Source organism: Homo sapiens, chromosome 14 (assembly GCF_000001405.40).
Source record: "Homo sapiens chromosome 14, GRCh38.p14 Primary Assembly".
In the NCBI taxonomy this organism is placed as follows: domain Eukaryota; kingdom Metazoa; phylum Chordata; class Mammalia; order Primates; family Hominidae; genus Homo; species Homo sapiens.
The window spans coordinates 30,514,139-30,539,103 of NC_000014.9; the positions used below are offsets into that span (position 1 = coordinate 30,514,139).

Below are 24,965 nucleotides of genomic sequence, written 5' to 3' on the forward strand. Positions count from 1 at the left end.
CGCTACCTGAGACTGGGAAATTTACAAAAGAAAGAGGTTTAAGGGGACTTACAGTTCCACGTGGCTGGGGAGGCTTCACAATCATGGTGGAAGGCAAGGAGGAGCAAGTCACATCTTACATGGATGAGAGCAGGAAAAAGAGAGAGTTGTACAAGGGAACTCCTCTTTTTAAAACCATCAGATCTCGTGAGACTTATTCATTATCATGAGAACAGCAGGGGAAAGATTTGCCTCCATGATTTAATTACCTCACACTTGGTCCCTCCCACAACAGGTAGGAATTCAAGATGAGATTTGGGTGGGGACACAGCCAAACTATATCACCAAGATTATGCCCAGAGATGGGAAATCATGAGGGTAAAGCATGTCATACCAAGTGGAGGTGAGGTCTTTAAATATTTTAAGATCTGTTTAATTAAAATAGAGTGTTGTTACAAATAACAATACTGAGTACAGCCAGGCATGGTGGCTCATGCCTGTAATCCCAGTACTTTGGGAGGCCAAGGTGGGCAGATCACTTGAGGCCAGGACTTCAAAATCAGCCTGGCTAACATGGTGAAATCCTGTCTCTACCAAAAAATACAAAAATTAGCCAGGCGTAGTGCTGCACACCTGTAGTCCAAGTTACTCAGGAGGCTGAGGCATGAGAATCTCTTGAACCCGGGAGGCAGAGGTTGCAGTAAGCTGAGATCATGCCACTGCACTCCAGCCTGGGTGACAGGATGAGACTCTGATTCAAAAAACCAAACAAAGAAACAAAAACAAAAAACAATACTAAGTCCAGGGATTTGAAGTTACAGGAAAGTGGATTTCAGACTCAACAAGGAAGATATTTTTCTAACAAGTAGAACTGCCCCAAAATGAAATGGGTGTCTTATATAGAAAAAAGCCTATAGTCTTTGCACCTGTTCATGCAAACGTTGAATACATTATTTTTCAGAACATTGTTCTTAAGAATAATTATTGTATGGAATGAAGATTGAGACAATCTCTAAACTTTTCCAAGAGATTATAATATAAACATGTATCTATCTAAACCCCAAGTAATCTTGTATAATTTTAGTGATCTGCCTTCAGAAATCTATAGGACCACATTCTTTACCTGAGTTACTATGTTTAACACCTACTTTGGATTCATAGTGGTCAAGCAGCTAGCAGAACACTCTTTAGTTTTGCTGGGTCATTTCTAAAGAAAAGGTAGATATTCGCACCTGTCAATCAGCTTCAGTAAGGAGCCAAAAGTGAAATCAGTTGTCAGTAACCCTTACAAAGCCACCTGGTATTGTTCTCTTGCCTTTCTTTTTTCTGTTTTCTGTTCATTCCCTTATTTTTGTTTCCATACTGCCTTATCTTTCTTTTCCTTTTCAAATTTCACTATACCTCTTTTAGTCTTTCCCTTGTCTTTCTGATTTCTAGACTTTTCTTATTTTTAGCTCCTATTCTTCATCCAAATACATGCCTTTCTGAAGACCCACCACAATTATTTTAAGTTAACTCTCATCAACCAGAGATTTCCCTTTACAGAGAGAATCATTGTTTTCTGTTTTTACCTGAAGCATGCTAGATCAATATAACAGGAACTATACAAAAGAATACTACTTTAATTCATTTTATGAGCAGTATATCAAGAGTAGATACAGGTTTTGTGGTACCTAAATCTTATATAATCTAGAGGTACTATCTTTAATTAAAATAGCAAACACTTAGATATGAAAGCAAGTATCAGTTTGTAATGAGTGCAATCAAAACAAAGCAAATTGAAAAATTCTTAAAGCTGATAAATGCTATAAATATCTTAATACCACAAAAATTACTATTTTGTGAATGAACTGTCTGATACACTTCTGTTATTTTTTCCCATGTTTTTTGTCTATTGTTTGAATCCCTCCTATGGCAATGATTTTGCAATATTCTCCACAGAAAGAATAACAGTACTGCTATAAATTTGTCCCTGACAAATAGGAATATGAGATGAGTCCTATCTCATGCAATTCCTATCAATAAAGAAAAGACTTAGTGGTGCATTTATTATCAACTCTGCTCTATTATCAAGTATATGCCTGACAGGATAGAAATTCTACTTTAACTGGAGTCAGTGAGAATGAAATCCTACAATTTTCCATGTATAATGATTGGAAAAATTTTCCACAGGCTAGCTCTGGTTTAATGCATTTCTAAAGTGTTTTTCTCCTCCGCTACCCACATATTACTGGTGGCAGTTTCATAAGATACATTGATATCATGATAAGACTCTAGCCCTGAAACATTACACTGTAACATGGAGTGAGTTGGCACAGTAGGTAGTAGAAGTATTCCTGACAGCCATCCCTACACCAGAATGGCTAGAAGTGTAACTATACCTGGAGTGGTTGCAGACCGTATAAATGAATCTCCTTACTCTAAGCTCAATGAATTCTCAGGCACTCTTACAAATAAAAATGCACTGGCTTCTAAATTAAGATGTTTGCCCTGATACATTGGGTAATTTCCTGGTTGTTCTAGTCTAGGGTATATTTTGAATATCAAATAACATGTTTAGGATATTTTCCCTTTTGAAAATGACAAAAATCACAGAGACTCTTATCAAAAAGCTTTCCTTTTATTCGTGCTCATGTTACTTGCTGCAATTGTGCATCAGGTGGGAAGTAGAACATGGCATGGGTGCCAAAGGGTGCAGTAGTTAGACTCTTCAAGTGACTCCAACACAAATGAGATCATGCTTGAATCTCCTGATCAAATTTTAAATAACAGATCTGTAGCCAGTTAAAGGCATATGAGAACTATCAACACAAAAGCACGTATCCTCAATCTTCACTGCACGGAAAACCCCCTGGGAGACTTCAGCAATGTCAATGCTTTGACTAGTCTCAAATCAATTAAATCTGAATCTGTGAGCATAGGACCCAGGCACCAGTGTTTGCATTTTGTTTTGTTTGTTTTTAATATTCCTTTTTGTAGCCAGGGTTGAGAACCACCCCCTGGTTTCAGCTTTGAAAACTAGTAAGTCAATGCTGTCAGACGACCCAGTGCCCAGTTTTACTTCAACTGACCCTTGGGGTGACATTTCTCTTGTACAATTGTATAGCACCAAATATTTTTTACTCTCTGGCCCGCCATGACAATCCCAAGCAGAAAAAGAATGCAACAGGTTTAAAGAGAAAGGCCTCTGATTTTGTTGTAGCAGCTAAAACAGACTAAGACATTAGCTGATGACATTAATAATAATAGAGTTTCCTTGAGAATCTAATTTGTCTTGGAGCCCCCAAAACAATAAAAATGCTTCACATAACTGGCATAGAATAGAAAACAGGGGAAATAAAATCCTACCTTTTCTCTATTATTTCAAGAAATTATTGGACACATCAAAGCCCATTATAAACCATGTATGGTCCATTGATGCCACCATTAGAACTTCTGAGGATTTGAATGTGGCAGGAAATTGTACTGCCCCCATGATTTACTGAGAATAGTTTACCAAGAGCAACACACTACTGAGAATCCACCCAACTTCTCAAAGAGCAAACTATTTTCCATTCTGAGGAAGATTTTATTTTTTAACAGTGTTGTGATGGCAGCAAAATTGTGGAAAAACCATTAGTCTCCAATAACTGTTGGTAACAGATTCTACCTACATTCCCCCTTTCCTTTGAAAATCCTGCTATCAGGTAATAATTAGCAATTAGCGAACACTCAACTCTACATGACTAAGAAGAGCATTTCTCAATCTGTGTTCTTGGGAACACTAGTTTCCTGCAATGTTAATATGTGTTATATAAAATGCTGCATATTCTGCCTTCTTTGAGAGTCAACAGACACATTTGAACATTAAAGGCTCTTCGAATTCCACATAAATAAATCTGCTTAACATTACTTAACCAAATGTTTCCCAAATTTATGTAACCATGGAATCCCCACCTCAAACACACATAGACACATATACATTTCTAATATGTGGGGGTTTTAGTGATTTGGGGATTTTGTTTTGGTTTTTAGAAGAACACCTATAAAACTAGTAGTTTTCTGTGAATCATGGTTTGGAAAACAACTTCTCCTGAGGAAATCAAAACCAAAGTTAAACAATAATGCTTCAGGCCTGGAATTTCAAGCTTGTGGGGACAGTAGGCATTCTCATAGCTGCTAAAATCATATCGGGTGGGCAGTTATTTGTCACCATCCAGCATAAAGACCCTTATCAAGCCTATTGCTATGTCATTAATTCTAAAAAAGATATGTCCAGTAATTCAGTCCCTCTGATTTCTCCGGTTTTGGGAATGTCTGCTTCAATGTGGCACACAAGCTATAGCAGATTGGGCTCATTTTGAGCCACAGGCAAAATATTCTAAGTTCAAGTATTTACCGAATTTTACTTGCCAGTTTTCATGGCATGTGTGATATTTTTAGCTGACTAGTGATAGTCTTTAAATCCAACAACAGTACACATTTTATATGAAAAATGCAGGATATTGACAAAAACTGCCTCCGTGACCAAACTTGAATCAGACTCCTTTGAATCCTCTCCTCTGCTAGGCCTCAACCTTTGCACTTCTATGTCCATCTTTGTATCACCCAGTTTCAGCAAAAATGCTGCCAAGTCAGTTTAGTGAGAATCTGTGCCCTCAATATCTGATCACCTGGATATCTGAGCAAATTCCTCATACCCAAACCATCCCCCAAGTGATATCAGATCACTCTGGCCTGCCTTCAGGTCCATTGGTTTAGCCAGAATCCCCCCTTACCTCTGATGCTTCCTCTTAGTAATTTTCCATCCACTGAGCCCTATCCAACTGTAAGTCCCCACTTGTCCGTGCTGTGTTCAGAATTGAGTCCGGTTCTATACTGAGGTCTCTTTTCTCCTACTGCAATCATTCCCAAATAAAATCTGTTCTTACCACTTTACTGTCTAACTCTGTTTTTTCTTTAACAATATGCAAGCTTGCAATAATAAATTTACAGCAAAAATAAACACTTTCATCTGCTTAAGAGGGCCTTATTAAAAGTACTTCGATGTATTGAAAAATTAGACTGACAGCTTTGAAACACAAAGTCCTCTGTTTATCCATAAAACATATATATGATTGCCACCAGCAATTCTAAGCTTCCTTTATGAGTTTACCTCTGTCTGCCCCTCTAAAGAGTGAGAAGAGGGTTCAGATTCCAGGCCCATTCAATTCTTGGCTCCTCTGCAAAGACTGCCAATTAGAGTATTTTGTGATATGGACATCTGTCCACTGGACTGAGACCAGCTCATTTCACAAAGCAGTTGTCAAGTGGTATCAACTTTCTGTGACAACCTGTGTTGGATTCAAACCCGTGCCCTTTGAGGTTACATGGCTTCCTCTTCTATCACTAAATCTTTTAAATGCCCAGAAGTTAGACACACTAATTTTCAAAACTAGCTAATTATAAAATCATAAAGTCATCTTTATTTCCCTTAATTCATGGAAATTTTTCTGATGCTTGCATTTATTGTCAAAAAATGATCCTCTATGTACACTTTTATTCTTGGAAATCTGGGCATTTTTCCAGTCACTTTGAAAGAAACGTATGTATTTAACATTATTTAAATGGGTGCTTTTTGGGCACCTACTACCTATTAGGCAGTGTGGAAATGCTACCAGTTTCCATTATTTTTTTTCTGAATTTATCTGCTGAATAGCTGAACAATTTTTCTCTCCACTATACCTAGTTTTTCTTTTTCTTTTTCTGTTTTTAAACTCAGTACAGTACAAGGTAAGAAGAGCAAAAAGTTTTATAAGGGGAAAGGTAATGTTTGAAGTTACATTAGTTTGAATGTAGTTTAGTTTCTCAACTATATATAATTACTTTGAAGGGGAAAAATCATAAAAATAGCTTTATTGTTACATTTTTGCCAGTGGGTGTGTGAAGTAATTTAACTTACAGGTAATGATTATGTAATTGTATTGATACAGGGCATACAGCCTACCAAGCTTAGTGAATCATCCAGACTGACAAGAGGAGGTGTAAAAATTCTGCCTGCTTCTTTTCTGTCTCACATCCCTGCCTTTACAAAGGAGAGAAGTCTTTCTCACAAGTTGGGGAGGGTGGTGGTAAGTGAGGCATCAAAGCTCCAAGATCACGGATATAAATGCATCAAGACAATGTGTCAATTCCTTGTGGTATAATTTTAAAAATTAATTGGATGGTGGTGAAGCTACCCAGCCCAAATGATGACTGTGCCATAAGAGATACAATGCAAATGGCTGACAGCAGCTACTTACCATTCAGAAATGAAGCTCTAAACTTTCACAAAGCTCCATTAAGATACAAATTAATTTCACTGAACTGTTCCATGTTGTTTGTCCCTGTTTTACCTCTGTAGGATACATTTGTTGCATAAACCCAACCATTTATTTGGACAGGAAGAAACAACACAAAATATAAAGGTCTAGTTATAGCATGGTATGCTGAGGTAATTAAAATTTCTATTTTTGCAGCCAATGACCTCTGTAGCCATAGCTGATTAAAAGTACAAAAATTTTAGATCTGGAGAATATTTGTGCCAAGGACAATGCTTGACCAAATATAATTAACTGAATTTAGATAAATTCTCAATCTGGCTTTCTTTAACTTGAATAGAAAAATCACACACTTCGTTGAACATGAATGGATTTGAAAATGAACATTTGGATTATATGCGAGGATATTTTCCCAGAATAATAGACCCAAGATTTTTTGATGTGCTGCATAGAAGTTCTTTGTTGACCCAAAGAATATATCAGCCTTCTGTTTTTACTCTCTAGTTCTATTTGCTGATTTTTGTTAATATTTATAATAACAGAAATAGTAGGTGAGGGAAAGCAGGAGAATAACAGATCCATTTAAATCTTTACTCTTTGTTTTTTCAGTGCTTCTTGTTCTTTTTCTTGGGGATAATTAGAGATAAATGGTATGGTATTATATTTGCTTGGATAGCAATACAAAAATGCCTATTTCCATCATTTTCAGTAATAGACTTTCAAGCTATATTTTCCTCAAACTTGATCCTCATTATTCCAGTAATATTTAAGCTATTAATTTCTCCAGAGAGTGCTTTTTGAAAATGGTAAATTATAAGACAAATCCCAAAATTACATTTTCTTTAATTTACAGTATTGTTCAAGCTCTACTGTTAGCATAAATGAATAGTCTGAACTGCAGTCTGAAATAAAGCCTTGAGCATTAAACAGTTGGCTTGGAAACAGAAACATTAAGAATATGATTGAAATTTTTTTACAGAAGATGAAATAACAGCATGCGCAAAAGCTCATTTATGATAATTCTAACATTTCTGCTACAGTTACAGAAAAGTAACAACATTTACCAAAAAAAGAAAGAAAAGAAAGAAAGAAAGGTGAAGGGTTTCACTTTCTAATCAACTGCAATGATATCAATTTTGCCCTTACTGAAAAGTGATTTTCACAGTTATAGAAATTTAATTTTTTTTCTGAGTTTCAAATTTGCCTTTTGGAAGGAACACAAAACAGGGCTTTTCAAAACAAAAGTCAATTGAAGCAAAAGTTTTTGTACTTGATGTAGGCATGTTGTAAACACATAACAATAGCAATAAATACAGTCAAACAGCATGATACTCAGAAAGACAATGAAGTCTATAAAGGTCTACAAACATCATATTTATTTTATTATAAAAAGGCATTAATTATGCTAATATGTGATGAAATCATATGAAATTCAAGGTATATTTAAAATCATTTGTTTAATATGTTTTATTTCATACTAGTTATGTCTGTTCCTTTATTTTTGTTTTGCCTTTTTTACGGGTGGGATTTGAAAAAGGAAGATAGAGAATACTTTTTATAAAATTATAAAGAAGACCAATCTTCTTGAAAATATTGATAATCTGATAAATTGCCAACAATAACCATCTGAGGCCTAAGCAAGCGTTTGTGATTCTTCAAACGAAAAGCTTCAAATTCACTCCAACTAAGAAAATCACTTCCTCCATCTAGTGGTGACTGATTGTAATGCTACCGAATTCTAGAACACTTTTCAACTTTTTTAAAATGTCGTTTTGTTTTTATACCTATGCTTGGGTCAGATAATTGTATTTATGTGGGAAATTAGGCTAAATTGTGTTAGTTTTCTTAAACATTTTACTACAATCTGAAGAAACACGGCATTACTATCTGCAATATTTTATCTCTGAGCCAAAATGCATAAAACATAGCCCTTACCATTGTAGGGCTTACAATTGAGCTAGGGAGACTTGACATATATGTATGAAAGGATAAACTAAAAAGAACACACATGAACTCTCAAATGGGTGATAAAGGCAATGTCAGGGCTCAGAACGCAATGCTCTAAAACATGGCATCTTGGCGTACTGAGTATTTTCAGCTGAAGGAAATTGAGAAAACCACAAAGCAGAAGGTCTCTCTCACCTTCTCTCTTGAAGGCCTTCATGTGACAGGTGTCCTGGAGGGGAGAAATGTTTCACAGAGATGCTAAAAAGAATCTGAACAAGCAGGCCTTGCTAAGTTTCCTCCCAACTTCCCCCTCCCCGCCCCAGTTTATTACCAATAGATCATGACTTTTGATGGTCATCATTGCTTGAAAAAGATTTGGCAGAATATATGGAACTGAAATGGCCTTTATTAAAGAGATAGAAGGAATTACATAACCAGGGAAGACTAAGAAAGGCATTTCAGACAAAAGGAACAGTTACAAACTGTTACAAGAGACAAGATAGATGCCTCCAATTCTGAAATCTTTGGAAGACAATGGGTAAGTCGTGTTCTGCAAAAATGGGTCTATGTGTTTGGTCAAGAGGAGTGAGAATGGAGTAGAAAGTAAAGTCGTTATAGCTATTGTAGATATAATACAGAGATTTTGTAGAGGGTCTTGAATGTCAAGATAAAAATGCTGGACTATATATTATTAGAATGAACCTCAGAAGTTCTAATGGTGGCATCAATGGACCATACATGGTTTATAATGGGCTTTGATGTGTCCAATAATTTCTTGAAATAATAGAGAAAAATATCTTTACATGTGCACATATGAATTTCTCTAGAAAGAATGTCCATAATTGTCATCAGATTCTCAATGGGGATCATTGCTCTGTTAATAGGTTTTGAATAGCAAACTGACATATTGAGTTTTGGAAAGATTCGTCTGACATTGATGTGTAGGATAGTTTGATATGGGCAGATAACTTATTCTTCATATTTAGGCTGATCCATCCCCCCAGCACAATATGCTGCCCTGGTTACTTGGTACTTTACTTCTCCCCTCTCTGGGCACTCAGTATTTCTTTATAAAATATTTTAAGTCTTTAACTAATTCTATGATAATCTATAGATCCATATACACGATCTCATCAAAAATAGCCTTAAGCATTCATAAAATTTAGATTTGGTGAGTACCGTGTATTTTTCTCAACACTGAGGTGCTTTCTGTCTGCACTTATATTTATATTTGGGATTCAGGCCTTTAATGATAGCAGTCATCATAAAAGTTTCCATTTGTTGAAGACTATATGCTAGGCACAAAATTAAGTATATGTGTTCAACAAATACTTACTGAGTGCTTTTTATGTGCCAGGTAGGTCATAAATCTTACAATAATCTAATGAGTTATATTCCCAATATATCCAATATGAGTTACAGTCCCCTGACTTTGTACATGAGGAACCTGAAGTTTAGGAGTTAGGCAACATTCACATCATCACCTTTTTCATAGCTAGTACAGCTTTGATTTCAACCTAGATATCTTTGATTCAATAAGCTGTGTCAAAGGTGGAACTAAAAAAGTATTTGGTCAGGATGCAAGATTTCTGAATGCCTGTATCTTGTCCTACCATTACCTTACCTTTCCTTCCTTTCCCTTTCCTCCATCCAACCAAGCTTTATCCTCCCTAGCCCCTTTCCATAACAAAAATGCCCAAGGGATACAAGCACAGGGCCCAAAGCCAGGTAAATGTACTTTTTTACTCTGATGCTTTTGTCCAAAGGTCCAGTGTCTGAACTAATCAGGAATCAGTGGCCAAGGCCCTTTTCATAGCTTGGTAGTCCCCAGACTGCTTTCCTAATAAACTATCTGAAAGTTGTTAACTGGTATTGTACCAGAGAAAAAGTAGTATCTTTTCCTCACCCATTGCAAGGCTCATGGCTGAGGCCCCCGTAAAAAAAACACAGATTAACAAGAGAAAAGTTTACAAATTTAAATTCATGTGACATAGGGAGCCTTCAAAAATAAAGACCCAAAGAAACAGAAAACGTGCATGTTTCCATGGTAGGGTTTGATGAAGAGTAGACAATTGTGTAGAAGTATGATTGGACAAAGAGGGTAAGATCTAATGATAATAAAATCAGGGGAACTTAGCAAGGCCTGCCTGTTCAGATTCTTCTCGGTATCTCTGTATTTTCAAGGCTAAGGATGTTCCTTTTCTCCAGATAGAGGGAAGGTATGATCTGCTTCAGGGGAGAAGGACGAGAGGAAGATGAGAATGGCCTTTCTGCTTGTGCTATTTTTTCAAATGCCAAGGTGTCATATGTTGGGGTAGCATGTCCTAAACTCCACCAGTATGCAAAATTAAAGTATTCCATAACCAAAAACATCAGAGAAGTACTGCACTGCATAGTTCCCTCTTGGGGTTTAAATGTGAATATTCACAGATTAAAAACTGAGAAGCCTCACAGGAAGATAAAGATGGGTAAATCTGCTCAAGACTGCTTTTCTCAAGTTTGTTTGACCAAGAATTTTCTTATCTTAAAACTCCTAATAGGGAGCAGAATAATGTCCCATGTCTGGGAAACAGTGGCTATCACAACAATAGGCTACAATGCTAAAAACAGGCCTCCTCCAGTGTTCCATTGCAGGAAAGCCTTCAGCACTTACAAAATTGACTTTCTCTGACCCCCAAATATTTCATGTGTTCACTTGTCCTAAATGCCAGACATTCAGCATGTGGCATAAGAATATGAGTACAAGCCTCACACTCATGAAAAATTATAAAACACAAATTAAATGTGATCACTGCTTCAGCACTTTACAATGTAAGCATCAATTACTTGTTAACTATGATTTCCCAAACAAACCCAATGTAATTGAATCAGGAAATATCAATATCCAGACCCACATGATTCTTACTAGCCATAAACTATAACAAAAAAAAAAATCAAAGAGAAAAAGAAAAAATCCTGGTTTCAGCTTCACTGGGGTGCTCGCCGATCTATGCCCGCTGTCATGAGTGCCCCACCTGTGAACGTAAATTTCACTTGGAAGATAGAGCATGTAAGGAGGTTAACTGTGACCTAGAATTTCAAATCTGAGGGGACGGGGGAGCAGATGTGGACTCCAACGCTTATCCACACTGCCTTTCTCTAGAGAGTACTTGAAACACTCCTGTTTTCTTTGGGATTTTAGAAATTGCATTTCTGGCACCTCCACTAGCAATTCTTTCCTGAAACCCCATTCTCCACCTCACATCTATCCCATATATTTAAAACCTCAAGTTTTCTCTACCTTTCTTTGGTCTCTGCATTCCTGGCACCAAACTCTGAAGTGACCGAAAGTTCCCTCTGAGAAACAGCGAAACAGCGAAACAGCGAAACAGCTCCCATGCCTAACTTTTGTATTTTTAGTAGAGACAGGGTTTCACTATGTTGTTTGGCCAGGCTGGTCTCAAACTCCTGACCTCAGGTGATCCGCCTGTGTCAGCCTCCCAAAGTGCTGGGATTATAGGCGTGAGCCACCACACCTGGACCATGCCTTCTTATGAGCAAGGAAAACCACATTAATATTAGGCAATTTGCATAGCCGTAATCTGATGCACTCTCTCTGTTTCTTCATCCCCAGTGGTATTCCTGGTTGTGGGTAGCCTAGGGCTGTCAGAGAGGCCTTGTTCCCACATTGCTTCAGCTGGAAGGAATGACCCAGGCCAGTGAACTGGTCTGCTATTGGTGGTGTGGCTCAAGGGATCTAATGCTATGCATGTGCTCATAATACAACCCAGATCTGCACTGCTGCTTTCAGCTGAAGTCCATAACAGAGGCATCTGGAGAAAGCAGACCCCAAAAATGGGAGAGGAAAACAAGAAAAAGCCTCATGCTTTCAAGCTTGCTAGAGTATTTGTTAAGTTCACATGGAGAAACAACAATCTTTGCAGTGAAAAACTGTAGAAGGAATTATCATAAGAGTATTTTTATCACCGTTACTTGCTAAGTTAATGGATTGTGCTTTAATTCTTGAATGGTAGAAAATACTAAAAGAGCTGATGAAGTTCTCGGCCTTAAAAGACACAGTCTCCGAACTTCTCTAATTTTATTTTGATACTTATATGTGTCCCACAGTAAGTATTTGCTGCTAACACTACATAATGAGTGGCAATCTCAAAGTTACAATAAATTATGCATAATTTAGTCTCTTAGAAGGTCTATAAATACAGCGTGAAGTGTTCAGCTTGTTATTTGATGCAACATCTGAAATCAGATTGCTCTGATGCAAATGTTTATCTCAATGTTATAATTGTGGCATGAATTCTTCTGAATTTATTTTGTTTGCAAAGAGCATTTTATTAATTAGTTACACCAGTCTCAAGGGTATTAGGTTTTTTAGAGCCATCAGTGTCAAAACTTCTGCAAATATAAAATTATAACTCATTTTTAAAAGAAAATAAGTTTTACGAAATGATTTTTAAAATACCATTTGAAGAGCATAATATATTCCTAGGGGGTATATTTTCCAAACATTTTGAAGCATTGAAATATTTATTAATATTACTATTTATTGCTTATTATCATCCCATGTTGTTTTTTTTTTGACAAAAATTAGAGTACACAGGTCTTTGCATCCAGTTGTGATGAACTAAAATGTAAAACCAAGAAATTTTACCTTATTTTATGAAAAACTTGTCTATGATTCTTGCTTTTTTGTTTCATTTATACGTATTATCAAGCTATCAATTGTGTTGAATTTTAATACAGGAATATATTGCCTCCATTTGTTCCTATTTATAGGCACAACTTCCACTATTGGAAAGCATATTTTGTATGTTGTTAGGTTTTAGCCCAAGCTGAGGTTTGAGGGGAGTTGGTGGACAGGTGGCAGGTAGCTGGAAAAACACTTGAGGAATTGTAGGCAGTTGCAACATGACTTTATTTTTGGTGGGGCGTTAGCCATATATACAACATTAGCTATATCTTTTACAAACAATAGTGGCTCCAAGCTAAGCACGAGCTATGTGAGTGGTTACCTAATGTGCCTTACATGGAGTGGTTGCATAATGTGTGGGGTTGCGCACCTGCGCTCCAAACCGGCTGAGTTATTCTTCACTGGAAGGCCACCTCAGCCTAATCCTGACTAAAGTGCCGCCATCTCCCTTACACTCCACCAGTTAGGCCAAGGGCATTTTTTGGGTAATGACACATGCTCATAGAGCAGAGTCCTGAATTTATAACCTCCTAGGATTTTAGCTATGCTACTTATGACTATTCGGGCCCAGCATAGGCTAGAGCCCAGGAATGTTTACCATTTTTGCGGGGGGTTTGTAGTAAGGCTTTTGACCACCTTAATTTTTCACGGGACCCCTTGCAGGGCTGCTGTTATATTTTGCTGATTATTAGGTATAAAAGTACAACATTGTGTTTTTAAGAGGGCACAGGTGCCTTCTTGGGCAGCAGTTACTATGTTTAAGGCCATTTGGTTCCAAAAGGTAACACCACCTTTTGATTTAACTTTATTAACAGGATGAAGGCCACTTGCATGTAATTTAGAGCCTGAGCAGTCTGCTTTGCAAGAGAGGTAACTTGTGCTTTTACACTTATGATGCCCGCTTTAGGAACAATTAATGCCAAGGAGTAGAACCACCAGGGGCTTGTGGCCTTTGCAAAAACCAAGAGCGTAGTGCTTTTCAGTTATGTGGGTGTTGGGGCAATGTGGGGAGAACAGTAGCAGGTACATAAGGCCACCCCCAGGTACAACGTTTAGTTCAGTTTGCTGTAGGTAAGGCTATCCTGTATTTTTACAAACCCATAAACTCCCAGGGGGCACAAAGTTTAGTGGGGCCTGATCTTGGCGGGGCCACTTGTCTCAACAAACCTTTGGTGTAGTGACACGTGTTATGTTTGCAGAGGCCATGACGGGTACCCATTCCACAGTGGTGTTACCATAATGTTGCTTTGTGCACTTCAGCACCAGGGCCAGGGGTACTATATGTTCCCCCACTAGCCAGCCCCACCTATTACAAATGCTACGGGCCAGTTAGGGGTTGGGCATGCCGTGGGCTTTGCAGCTTTCTTTCTTTAAAGCTTGCTGTGTTGTGTTCCAGGTGTTAGCTATGGGACCCCAAGTTTTTAGCCATGTTTAGTTTTTGGCAGACACTGAATGTATATGCCAAGGCAAGCCATTTGCAGCTGCTGCAGGAAGGGCAGTGCAGATTTAAGAGTTGGAAACATTGATTATGTTAGCATTAAGTGTGGGCCCAGTTTACAAGGCAATTGGAGCATGGTAACCTATGGTTGAAATGACAGAGCAGGCACAGGTACTAACAGAGGTAAATTACATTTTTTAGGCAAAATACAGGCTAACTTTTTATTCCTGGATAAAAATGCAGCCGCCAAGGGCTTCTGCCCTGGGTGATGGTACTACACCTTTTTAGCTCCCCATGGTTTCCTTGGGTTTTGTATTTGTCCCAAAGTTACGAGGGAGCTTATAATAGGCCACACAGATAGTACATATGTTTACTGGAGAAGAGTTGTTTCCTGTCTGTTTTTCTACAAACAGTTGACCGCAGAGGCCATGTACTGAACACTTAAGGAGTGACATGCAAGTTATGCTGTAGGCCCTCCCCACAGGGAGCTTCAGTGGCCAACCACCCGTAACTGGGGGCTTGGAGGGTTTATGGCCGTAGCCAGGTTGTTTCCCTGCCTTTGGGGGTGCTGCAGCAAGCAACAACAAACTACTGTTTGTTTTTATACCTGGTTGGAGAAGGTTATTTTTAGTGTGTATTTGCAACTGAATGGGGGGTGGTTGCTTGGTGTAACAATGCCTTTACAGGGCGAGCTGCCTTTCTGTGGCCACTTATTTAAGGTTTGGAGCACCAGGTTTAGCCTGGAACTTTAGCCCTGCAAAGAAGGGGGTGTGACATGCAAGTGTAACTTATTTTTTAAGAGCCCTTTATGTTTTTAAATTATACCCACAGTTTGCGGGTTGTACGGCACATGGAATTCCCACTTTATGTTTATTTGTTGTGCCCAGTGTTGTACCTGTTGTTTAGTAAAATGTGTTTTCCTGTTACTTTTAACAGCCAGGGGGAACCATACAGGGCACATAAGTGTTGAAGGGCTGGGATGGTGTGCTGTTGGTCAGCCACCCTACAAGGGTAGGTGAACAACAGGCCTGTGACCGTGTTTACCGCTGTTAGCGCATGCTTATACCTTTGAGACGTTGGCAGTAGCCCGATGTAGTTTGCTTGCCACCTGGTTAAGGGCACTTGCTGTATTGTTACTTGTGTAACACTGGGCAGCTGCCTCCATTTAGGGTATGCCTGAGCACAAGCCGGGCATTTTTGGCAAGCCTCCCAAATATTTCGCGTGGGCAGGGACAGACCCCAACACTTATTGACTTGTGGTGTTAGTTTACCCCCTGCATGTTCCAGTTTTTGGTGTAGCCACAAGGCCACATTTTGTGTAGATGCTGACTTCAGCCACTGGACCTTAGTCAAGGCATCTGCCTTATTATTGCCAGGGGTGGCCAAAAGCACATGGCTTGACAAATGATAAATAGTTACACTTTTTTGATAACCCATTTTTCAGAGGTTTTGCCACATGGCTTGGCCCCAAATGGATTGGTGGCTGACTAGCCAATTTTGTATTTTTAAAGTAGTTAACCATAAGGTAGACCTTGATAGACTCCCCAGCTATTGGTACAGATTACCATAGGTGGTTTTTTTTTTTTTTTTTTTTTTTTGGTGATTACTATTTACACTGCTTTAAGTTTAGCCCATTGGCTACTTTGTTTACACCTGGCTTCAAACCACATGGTGTTGGTACTAGGTTGGACTGCAACAGCAGTTTAAGCAGCAGTAGCACCTTGGCTAGACCCATTTGTGTATCATGCCCCATTGGGAATCGGCGGATGCCCTTCCTTAAATACTGAAGGCTTGGCGTTTAAGGGTGCTTTAGGCTGACCCCTGGCCTTTTTTGTGTGTTAGAACTACAGGTTTGAAGACTTTTTGCAATGTTGCTGCTACGGGGCTTGTACTTAGAAGTTCAGCTTCTACCTTCATCACTATACTGAGAGCGTAGTGGTTAGGACTACCTGGGTTGGAATCACGGTGCAGCCAGCTTACACCTGTAATGCTTTGCACAATGCTGTTCACCTCCATGTACTCAGTCTCCTCGTCGGTAAAGTGGAGATCATAATTATACATGCTTGCTGGGATTACTGTGGAAGTGAAATGAGTCAGCGTATATTCAGTATTTGGAACTTGCCTGGTACATAGTCAGTATATATACAGCATTCGGAACTTTCTCATACATGTCAGATAACATTGTTTCTAAAGTGTCTAGTGACTAATTTTCAGTTCTTACATTACTGAACTTTTCTGAGACATCTGCAACTTTAAATCAGTCCCTTCCTTGGAATTTATTCTCCCCTTTTATGTTTATGAGACCTTTTGTTCCTGATCGCCCCTTCTTCTCTAATCTCGCTAAGTCTTCTTAGCTGTCTCCTTGATTTCTACTGGCAGTGTTTCCTTGGATACTTTTTTCAGACCTCCTTTATTCTTACTAAATATCTTCTCTCCGAATGACAGCTTCCATTTTCATGGCTGCTACCTGTATACCAATGACTTTAAACTGCTTTCTTCATCCCTGAACTTTCTTGAGCTCCGGATCTTAAATGTTGACAACCCTGATGTCTTAGCAGTTTGGGGTCTACTCAAAGCCCAGTTATCATTGATGAGGTCTATAAAACATTTATAGAAGAATTAATGCCAATTCTAGAGAAACTCTTACATATAATCAATGAGAAAGGAATATTCCAAAATCACTCTCGAAGAGGCCAGTATAACCCTGATGCGAAAACCTAACAAAAACATTAAAGTGTTAGAGTGTTTGAGAAAAGTGAAAATTACCTTTCTGATAAAGACTATGTGAAGATCTCTCGAAACTAAGCAATAGGAAAATTAACAACTCAATAAAAATGAATGAAGGATTTGAACACATATTTCATGCACATGGAAGAGGCCCAACGTCATTAATTATTAGGGAATTGCAATTTAAAACCACCATTAGATGCCACTACATACCTACTAGAGTGGCTGAATTTTTAAAATCATACTGATCATACTAAGTATTGGCAAGGATAAGGAAGAACAGGGACCCTCATACATTGCTAATGGAATGTAAAATAGTTGTACCATTTTGGAAAGCCTTTGAGTAGTACATACTCCTACAAGGTAATCCAGCCATTCCACTTTTAAGTATTTACCCAAAAGAAATCAAATCATATAGTTATACCTGTTACTTGCACTTAAATGTTATAGCAGCTTTATTTGTAGTAGCCCAAAACTGGAAACATCACAAACGCCTATTAATAAATAAACAAATTGTGTATTCATACAATGGAATACACAAAACAATAAGGATGATGCATCTCCAAATAATTATGCTGTGTGAAAGAAGCCATACCCACTGATTCCATTCTTATAAAATTCCGGAAAATGTAAACAAATCTATAGTGGCAGGCAGCAGATCTGTGGTTGCCTTGAGACAGAAAAATAGGAAGGAAGGATTACAAAAGGATGTAAGAGGAAACTTTTGGGGATGACAGATGTGTTCATGCTATGTTCGTGTCTTGATTGCGGTGGTGGTTTTACAGGTGTATTTATAATATGGGTAGTTTATTGTATGTCAATTATACCTAAGGAAATCTGCTAAAAATAGATTTAACAAGAGAGACAATAGCTTAGAGATTATTTTAAAAAAGATTCTTTTAAAGGGTTTTAAGTGACTGAAGATGAATTCCTGAAATGGAGGTAATTTTGTCGAATAAATATATAAATATAAATGCTTACTCTTTATTATAGAATGTATATAATATATGTATTTTTATTACATTGCCAGCTCATGAACAGCAAACTCAGTTATGACAATAATTAAATTCTCATCATTGATATATTCCTTTCAGTCATACAAAAATTATAGCTTTACACATTTTTTAAATGTTGTAAATGAAAGTATATTTGTCAAGTAGAAGGTCATAATATATTTTATTTAACAGCCCCAAATCATAAAACTTTTCAGTTGGCAATATGCCAGAAAGACTTGCGAAACTGTTTGAGGTCAAGGGTCACGGTGTATTTCAGTTGTGCCTATCAGATAGATCGAGCCATGGCGAGAGTCACACTGTAATCCCATTATGCCATAGCTACACCTTCTTGTCGGATGCTCCCAGGGATTTATATGCATAAAGGACAAGGCCAGGTAAATGTATACTCTTTGTTACCATGAGAGTTTTTCTCCAAACTCAAGTCTTCTAGCAAGATGTGCATCACCCACTGTCTTTTTTTTTTTTTTTTTTTTTTTTCCTAGGCAAGAAACAGGCTATATTGGACATCCTTTACATCTAATGTTGCATCCTCTTGGCCCACTTCTTGGTCCCAGAACTGTTGTTACAACAAACTGTAGGAAGATGCAGCCTGGGAGCACCCCGTTTTAGACTTAGTAAGACTCTCTTGTTTTGTGCTAGACTTCTGTCAGCATGTGGGATGGCTTTAGAAGCTGTCTGATCCATTCTGGTGTACTAAAACAAACCATTGATAAATGGGAGGTACTATGGTTTTTGTGCCCACAAAGTCCATGTGTTGGAAACATAATCTATTGCAATAGTGTTGAGAGATAGGACCTTTAAGAAATGATTAGGTCATGAGGGGTCTGCCCTTATGAATGGATTAATGCCATTATCACTGGAGTGGGTTAGTTATCCAGGAGTGGCTTCCTGATAGAACAGTGAATTCGGCCCACTTTCCTGTTGCGTGCACTCACTCTCTCTTTCTCTTTCTCTTGCCCACTCTTTGCCCTACAGCCATGGGATGATGCAGCAGGAAGGCCCTTATCAGATGCTGGCCCCTCACTCTTGAGATTCTCAGCCTCCAGAGCTGTAAGTGAATAAATTTTGTTCACTTTAAATTACCTAGTCTCAGATATTCTGTTATATCAGCACAAAACAGACTAAGACAGGACAGGAATTTGAGAATAAATACTCCCACCTTGTCTATTCAGCAGATAATTCTAATGCACATCCTACACAGTTCTTATCCCACCTGCCCCATGGTGAAGAGAGAGAAAATCCCATAAGAAACTAGACCTCAAGAAAGACACACCTAGGTAGAGTCAGGAAGTTAGATGAGGGAGAAGAGGAGTCTGGCATTCTCTCTAGGCTGTGCCAGCATTTATGTATCTTTGTATCCCTCTAATATTTAGCTAGTGTAGCTGTTTAATAAATGTTTTGAAAAAAAATTAATATAGGGAGTACAGTAGGGTAAAAATAAAGGAAGTGTATTTCTAGAATATATTTAATTATAAATTATTATAGAAGTAGGTGTGATGGCACATGCTTGTAGTCCCAGCTACTCAGGAGGCTGAGGCAGGAGGATCACTTGAGGCCAGGAGTTTGGGCTGCAGTGCACTGTGATCATGCCTATGAACCACTGCACTCAAGCCTAGGCAACAAAGCAAAACCCTATGTCTAGAAAAGAAACAATTATTAATGAACAGCCAATATATTAGCTGTCAAGAAGAATTTGCTAAAAAATTTTTCATTTAAAATTCAGAGACTAGAGAAACACCATGTGTAGTATTTGGCTTCTAATCAGAATTTTATTGAAATAAGCCTATTATTTCTTCTATAATGAAAATTTTTATTTACATCTTCTCTCTGCAAACAAAATGTTAGCAAGGGTTAGCAAGAATTGATTGGAAGCAAGAGAAGGATAACAGGAGGGAACTTGAATAAATGCTGGCAAAGACTCCCCTCCTGCTGACTTTACTATTTTCAAAAAGCAAATGAAGAAGTATGGAAGTTATTTAGTGGAATGTTTAATAGTTTTTAAGGAGCTTAGTTTCAGTGTAAAAACATTGACAAGAGCTATTGACATTAATTTATGTGAATAGATGAAAACATAGTGAAACTTCTATTCAGGAATATTATAAACAATAAGTTTTATAAATATTTATTGCAAAATCTACCAAATTATAACTCTTTACAGTGCATTGTTCACTTAAATTTTACTGTCATAAAGTCACAGCACAGTCAGAGTCTGGAGTGCCTGGTATAAATGTTTAGTGAATGAATTATAATCAGAGGAGGTCTCCCCACCATGCTGACTCTCTCTAATACCATCAGGGCTTTCCCTTTGATATTGCCATAGCTGGGGGTAGTCTAGGAGGTCCCTAAAGGAGCACCCTCCCTAGGAAGACCCCATTTTCCCATAGGAGAAGGACCTTACTAGTGTTCTATTAATAAGAGGAAAGTGTTCACATTTGCATTAAATTGAATGCTCAACAAAGTCTTGGACAGAGTAGGTATCCTGAGGAGGTAGGTAGGGGCCTTGGAAGGGATCAGGTACATCTGCATCTATTTTAGTTTCTTATCTTTGTTTTAGTACTAATTATGTTCTTCTTTCTTTTCAGGACCTTAACATTATATTATTCTTTTTTTTTTTTTCCAGAGATAGGGTCTCGCTCTGTCACCCAGGCTGGGGTGCGGTGGTACAATCATAGCTCACGGCAGCCTCAAACTCCTAGGCTCAAGCAATCCTCCCAATTCAGCCTCCCACGTAGCTGGGACTACAAGCATGTGCCACCATGCCTGGCTAATATTTTTTTGTTTTTGTAGAAATGGAGTCTCACTGTGTTGCTCAGGCTGGTCTCAAACTTCTAGGTTCAAGCGATCCTCACGCCTTGGCCTACCAAAGTGCTGGGATTATAGGCATGAGCCACCTCACCCAGCCTATTTTATTCTTAAGAGACTTACCTGAAGTTTTAAAATGGTAAAATTTGTATTTATTTTTGCAATAACAATTTTAGTTTTCCCCAGGATAATGGAGATGACACCGTCAACTAAAGAACAAGTTAGGAAGTTCAGGAAAGAAAGAAAACCACAAAGAAAAAAATGAATAAGTTAGTGTTGGAAGACGCTCTTAAGTAGTTGTTCCCAGTTACTGGTCAGTGGGCCAATATAGAAAAGTGATAAAATTTTCACTTAACCATTGATTAGTGAGAGAGAGAGAGAGAAATAAAGGGAGAGCAACAAAAAGAGGAGTCGCATAATTTGCAAGGTTTCTTTTTGAAGTAATCAAAATGTTCTAAAATTATATCCTGGTCATTTTTGCACAAGTCTGTAAATATACTAACTACCATTGTATTGCACACCTAACAGGTGAGTTTTACAGTATGCAAATTATAGCTCAAAGATGTTTCTTAAAAGTTAAACAACTGGGCGCGGTAGCTCACACCTGTAATCCTAGCACTTTGAGAGGCCGAGGCAGGTGGATCACCTGGAGCTCGAGACCAGCATGGACAACATGGTGAAACCCTGTCTATACTAAAAATACAAAAAAAAAAAAAAAAAAGACATAGCTGGGCATGATGGTGGGCACCTGTAATCCCAGCTACTCAGGAGACTGAAGCAGGAGAATCACTTGAACCTGGGAGATGGAGTTTGCAATGAGCCTAGACTGCACCACTGCACTCCAGCCTGGGCAACAACAGCAAAAACTCCGTCTCAAAAAAAAAAAAAAAAAGTTAAAACAAAAAGGAACAAACATAGAATATGATAAATTGAAGTTTGCTGAGCACTGGCAAAGTATAGAAATGTGTTTTTTTTATGTCTGGAGAAAGGAATGGATATTGAAGAGTTAAATAAGAATCTTTGTTGCTGCCCACTTGTACCAGCTATTTTCTTTGTGGGAATGCTCTTCCCATTCCTCCACCCACTCCCACCCCCATATTAACAAGGCTAGCTTCTCTCTATCAGTCGTAACTCAGGTTCAATATCATCTTTTCATTAAAGTATTTTCTGAATGCTTAATCTAGAATAGCCACCCATTTACTCTCTGTAACTTACCATATTTTAATACTTGCATTGCAGTTATCATGATCTGATGTGTTTATGATTAAAAATAAATATATACATATTTATTTTGAAAATTGAAACCATATATAACAAAATAAGTTACTGTCTATGTAAATATGACTTCACTATTCTACTGTCTCTATTAACAAGACTTTATTATTCCTCCATCTTCATCAATATGATTTACTTTTCCTGGAAACTCTTACCCAAATGGACAAAAGATGCAAACAATTTTTCAAAAGAAGTTTCATTGAGATGTAATTAACATACCATAAAACTCACCCATGTTGGATATAGAAGGCAATAATAGTTATTACAATTAAGTATTTGTGCAAAAATTGCCACAGTATAATTTTAGAACATTTTGATCACCCCACAAAAAAATTTTGTGCCCATTTGCAGTCAATTCCCATCTCTCTCTAACAATGTGAGGCAACCATCAATCTCTTTTGGTCTCCATAGATTAGCCTATTCTAGACATTTCATATATGCAGAATCAGACAATATGTGATCTTTTGTGTCTTCTTTCACTGAATATACTGTTTTAGAGATTCATCCATGTTGAAGCATGTATCAGCACTTCATGACTTTTCATTGTTAAATAGTATTCCACTTTATAGATATACTAAATTTTGTTTATCCATTTATCAGTCGATGAACATTTGGGTTGTTTTCACTTTGAGATTATTATGACTAATGCTACTATGAACATTTGTGCACAAGTCTCTGTGTGAAGACACACTCTCATTTCTCTTGGGTAGATTCCTTGGATGGTTGGGTCATGTGGTAACTCCTATGTTTAACACTTGAAGAAACTACCACACTGTTTCCCAACAAGTCTGAACCATTTTTACATTCCCAGTAGTTGATACATGAGGGTCCTCATTTCTCCACATCTTCATCAACACTTGCTATTTTCTGGATTTAAAAATATACATCTATTGGTTATATGTCTTATGGGATCTCTTGTGGTTCTGATTTGCATTTTCCTACTGCCTAATGACATTGAGCATCCTTTCATGTGCTGACTGACAATCTGTGTATCTTCTTTGGATAAATGTCCATGTAAACCCCTTGTCTATTTTTAAATTGAATCATTTGTCTTTTTCTTGTTGAGTTGTGAAGGATAGCAAAATTTGCCACCCCAAATTACACCATTTTGGCATAAAGATTATTTTGAGCTAAAGGCGATTGAGAAGAAACAGATACAAGGAAAGCTCTCTGCTCTTCCCCTAGTTACCGAAAAGCAGGACATAAATTTGTAATTTCCTCTGCCAAGAAATACAGAAGTGAATTGCTAGAACAAACTCTAGACCTTTATCTGCTTAGGGATGTCACCAATGGAATCTGCCTAACAAACCTTGCTAAAACTAGCCCTTATCTACCACTAGTTTCCCCATATATTTGCCTTCCCACAACTTGCCACCCCAGAAGCTGAAAGTCCTTTTGCTTTGTTTTGTCACTTCTCTAAAAATGTATGTTTCTTTCATTAAGATGCTATGTAAGCCCAAGTTCTAACCACCCCTTTGAGTTACTCATCTTTAAATGCTCCCACGTGTATGTGCAATGCACATATTAATAAACTCCTGTTTGTTTCTCTCTTGTTAATCTCTTTTGTCCATTTAATTTACAGGGCACCGCCAGAGAAGGGCAGAGGGAAAAAGACTTTCTTCCCCTAAAGTTGTAAGTTCTCAATATATTCCAGATACAAGTCCCTTATCAAATTATGTGATTTGGAAATATTTTCTTCCAGCCTCTAGGTTTGTCTTTTGCCTTTCCTGATCATGTCATTTGAAGCATGAATGTTTCTAATATTGATGAAGTCTAATTTACCAAATGTTTCTTTTATCACTATGATTTAGTATTGAATCTAAGAAATCATTACCTAACCCTGGGTCACAATTTACTCCTATGTTTACTTCTAAGAGCATTAAAATTTTAGCTCCTGTATTTAGGTCTATGATCCATTTTGAGTTAACTTTTGTGTGTGGTGTATGATACGAGTCCAAATTTTTGTGTGTAGTGTATGGTAGGCATCCAAATTACTTTAGCAAGTGGATAGCCAATTGTTCTAGCACCAATTATTTAAATGACTCTTTTTTCCTCCATTGAATTGTCTTTGCACCTTTGTCAAAAGTCAATTGCCCATAACAGCTAACACAATCTTGTTAAACAAAAATTAAGTTGGAAGACTTATACTTCCTCACATCTAAACTTAACACAAAGCTATTATAATTGAACAGTATAGTGCTGGCATAAGGATAGACATATAGATCAATGGAATAGAACTGAGAGTCTAGAAATAAATCTATATATATGTAGCTAATTGATATTTGACAAGAGTAACAAAACCACTCAATAAAGAAAGAATAGGCCGGGCGCGGTGGCTCACGCCTGTAATCCCAGCACTTTGGGAGGCCGAGGCGGGTGGATCATGAGGTCAGGAGATCGAGACCATCCTGGCTAACAAGGTGAAACCCCGTCTCTACTAAAAATACAAAAAATTAGCCGGGCGTGGTGGCGGGCGCCTGTAATCCCAGCTACTCGGGAGGCTGAGGCAGGAGAATGGCGTGAACCCGTGAAGCGGAGCTTGCAGTGAGCCGAGATTGCGCCACTGCAGTCCGCAGTCCGGCCTGGGCGACAGAGCGAGACTCCGTCTCAAAAAAAAAAAAAAAAAAAAAAAAAAGAATAGTCTCTCCAACAAAGATATCAGGACAATTAAATAGCCATATGCAAAAGAATGAAGTTTGATCCCCACCTTGTTCCATCTACAAAAATTTACTCAAAATGAATAAACTCAAGACTTAAATGTAGGAGCTAAAACTATAAAACTGTTATGAAAAAGAAATAGGGATAAATCCTTATCA

At 37.9% G+C, this 24,965-nt stretch overlaps 1 long non-coding RNA gene across 1 annotated transcript in view; it reads right to left on the reverse strand.

Moving 5' to 3' along the window:
- G2E3-AS1 (G2E3 antisense RNA 1) overlaps nucleotides 1-24,965 on the reverse strand; it is a 139,366-nt gene that overhangs the window by 76,147 nt on the left and 38,254 nt on the right. The gene's annotated exons all lie outside the window — the stretch shown is intronic.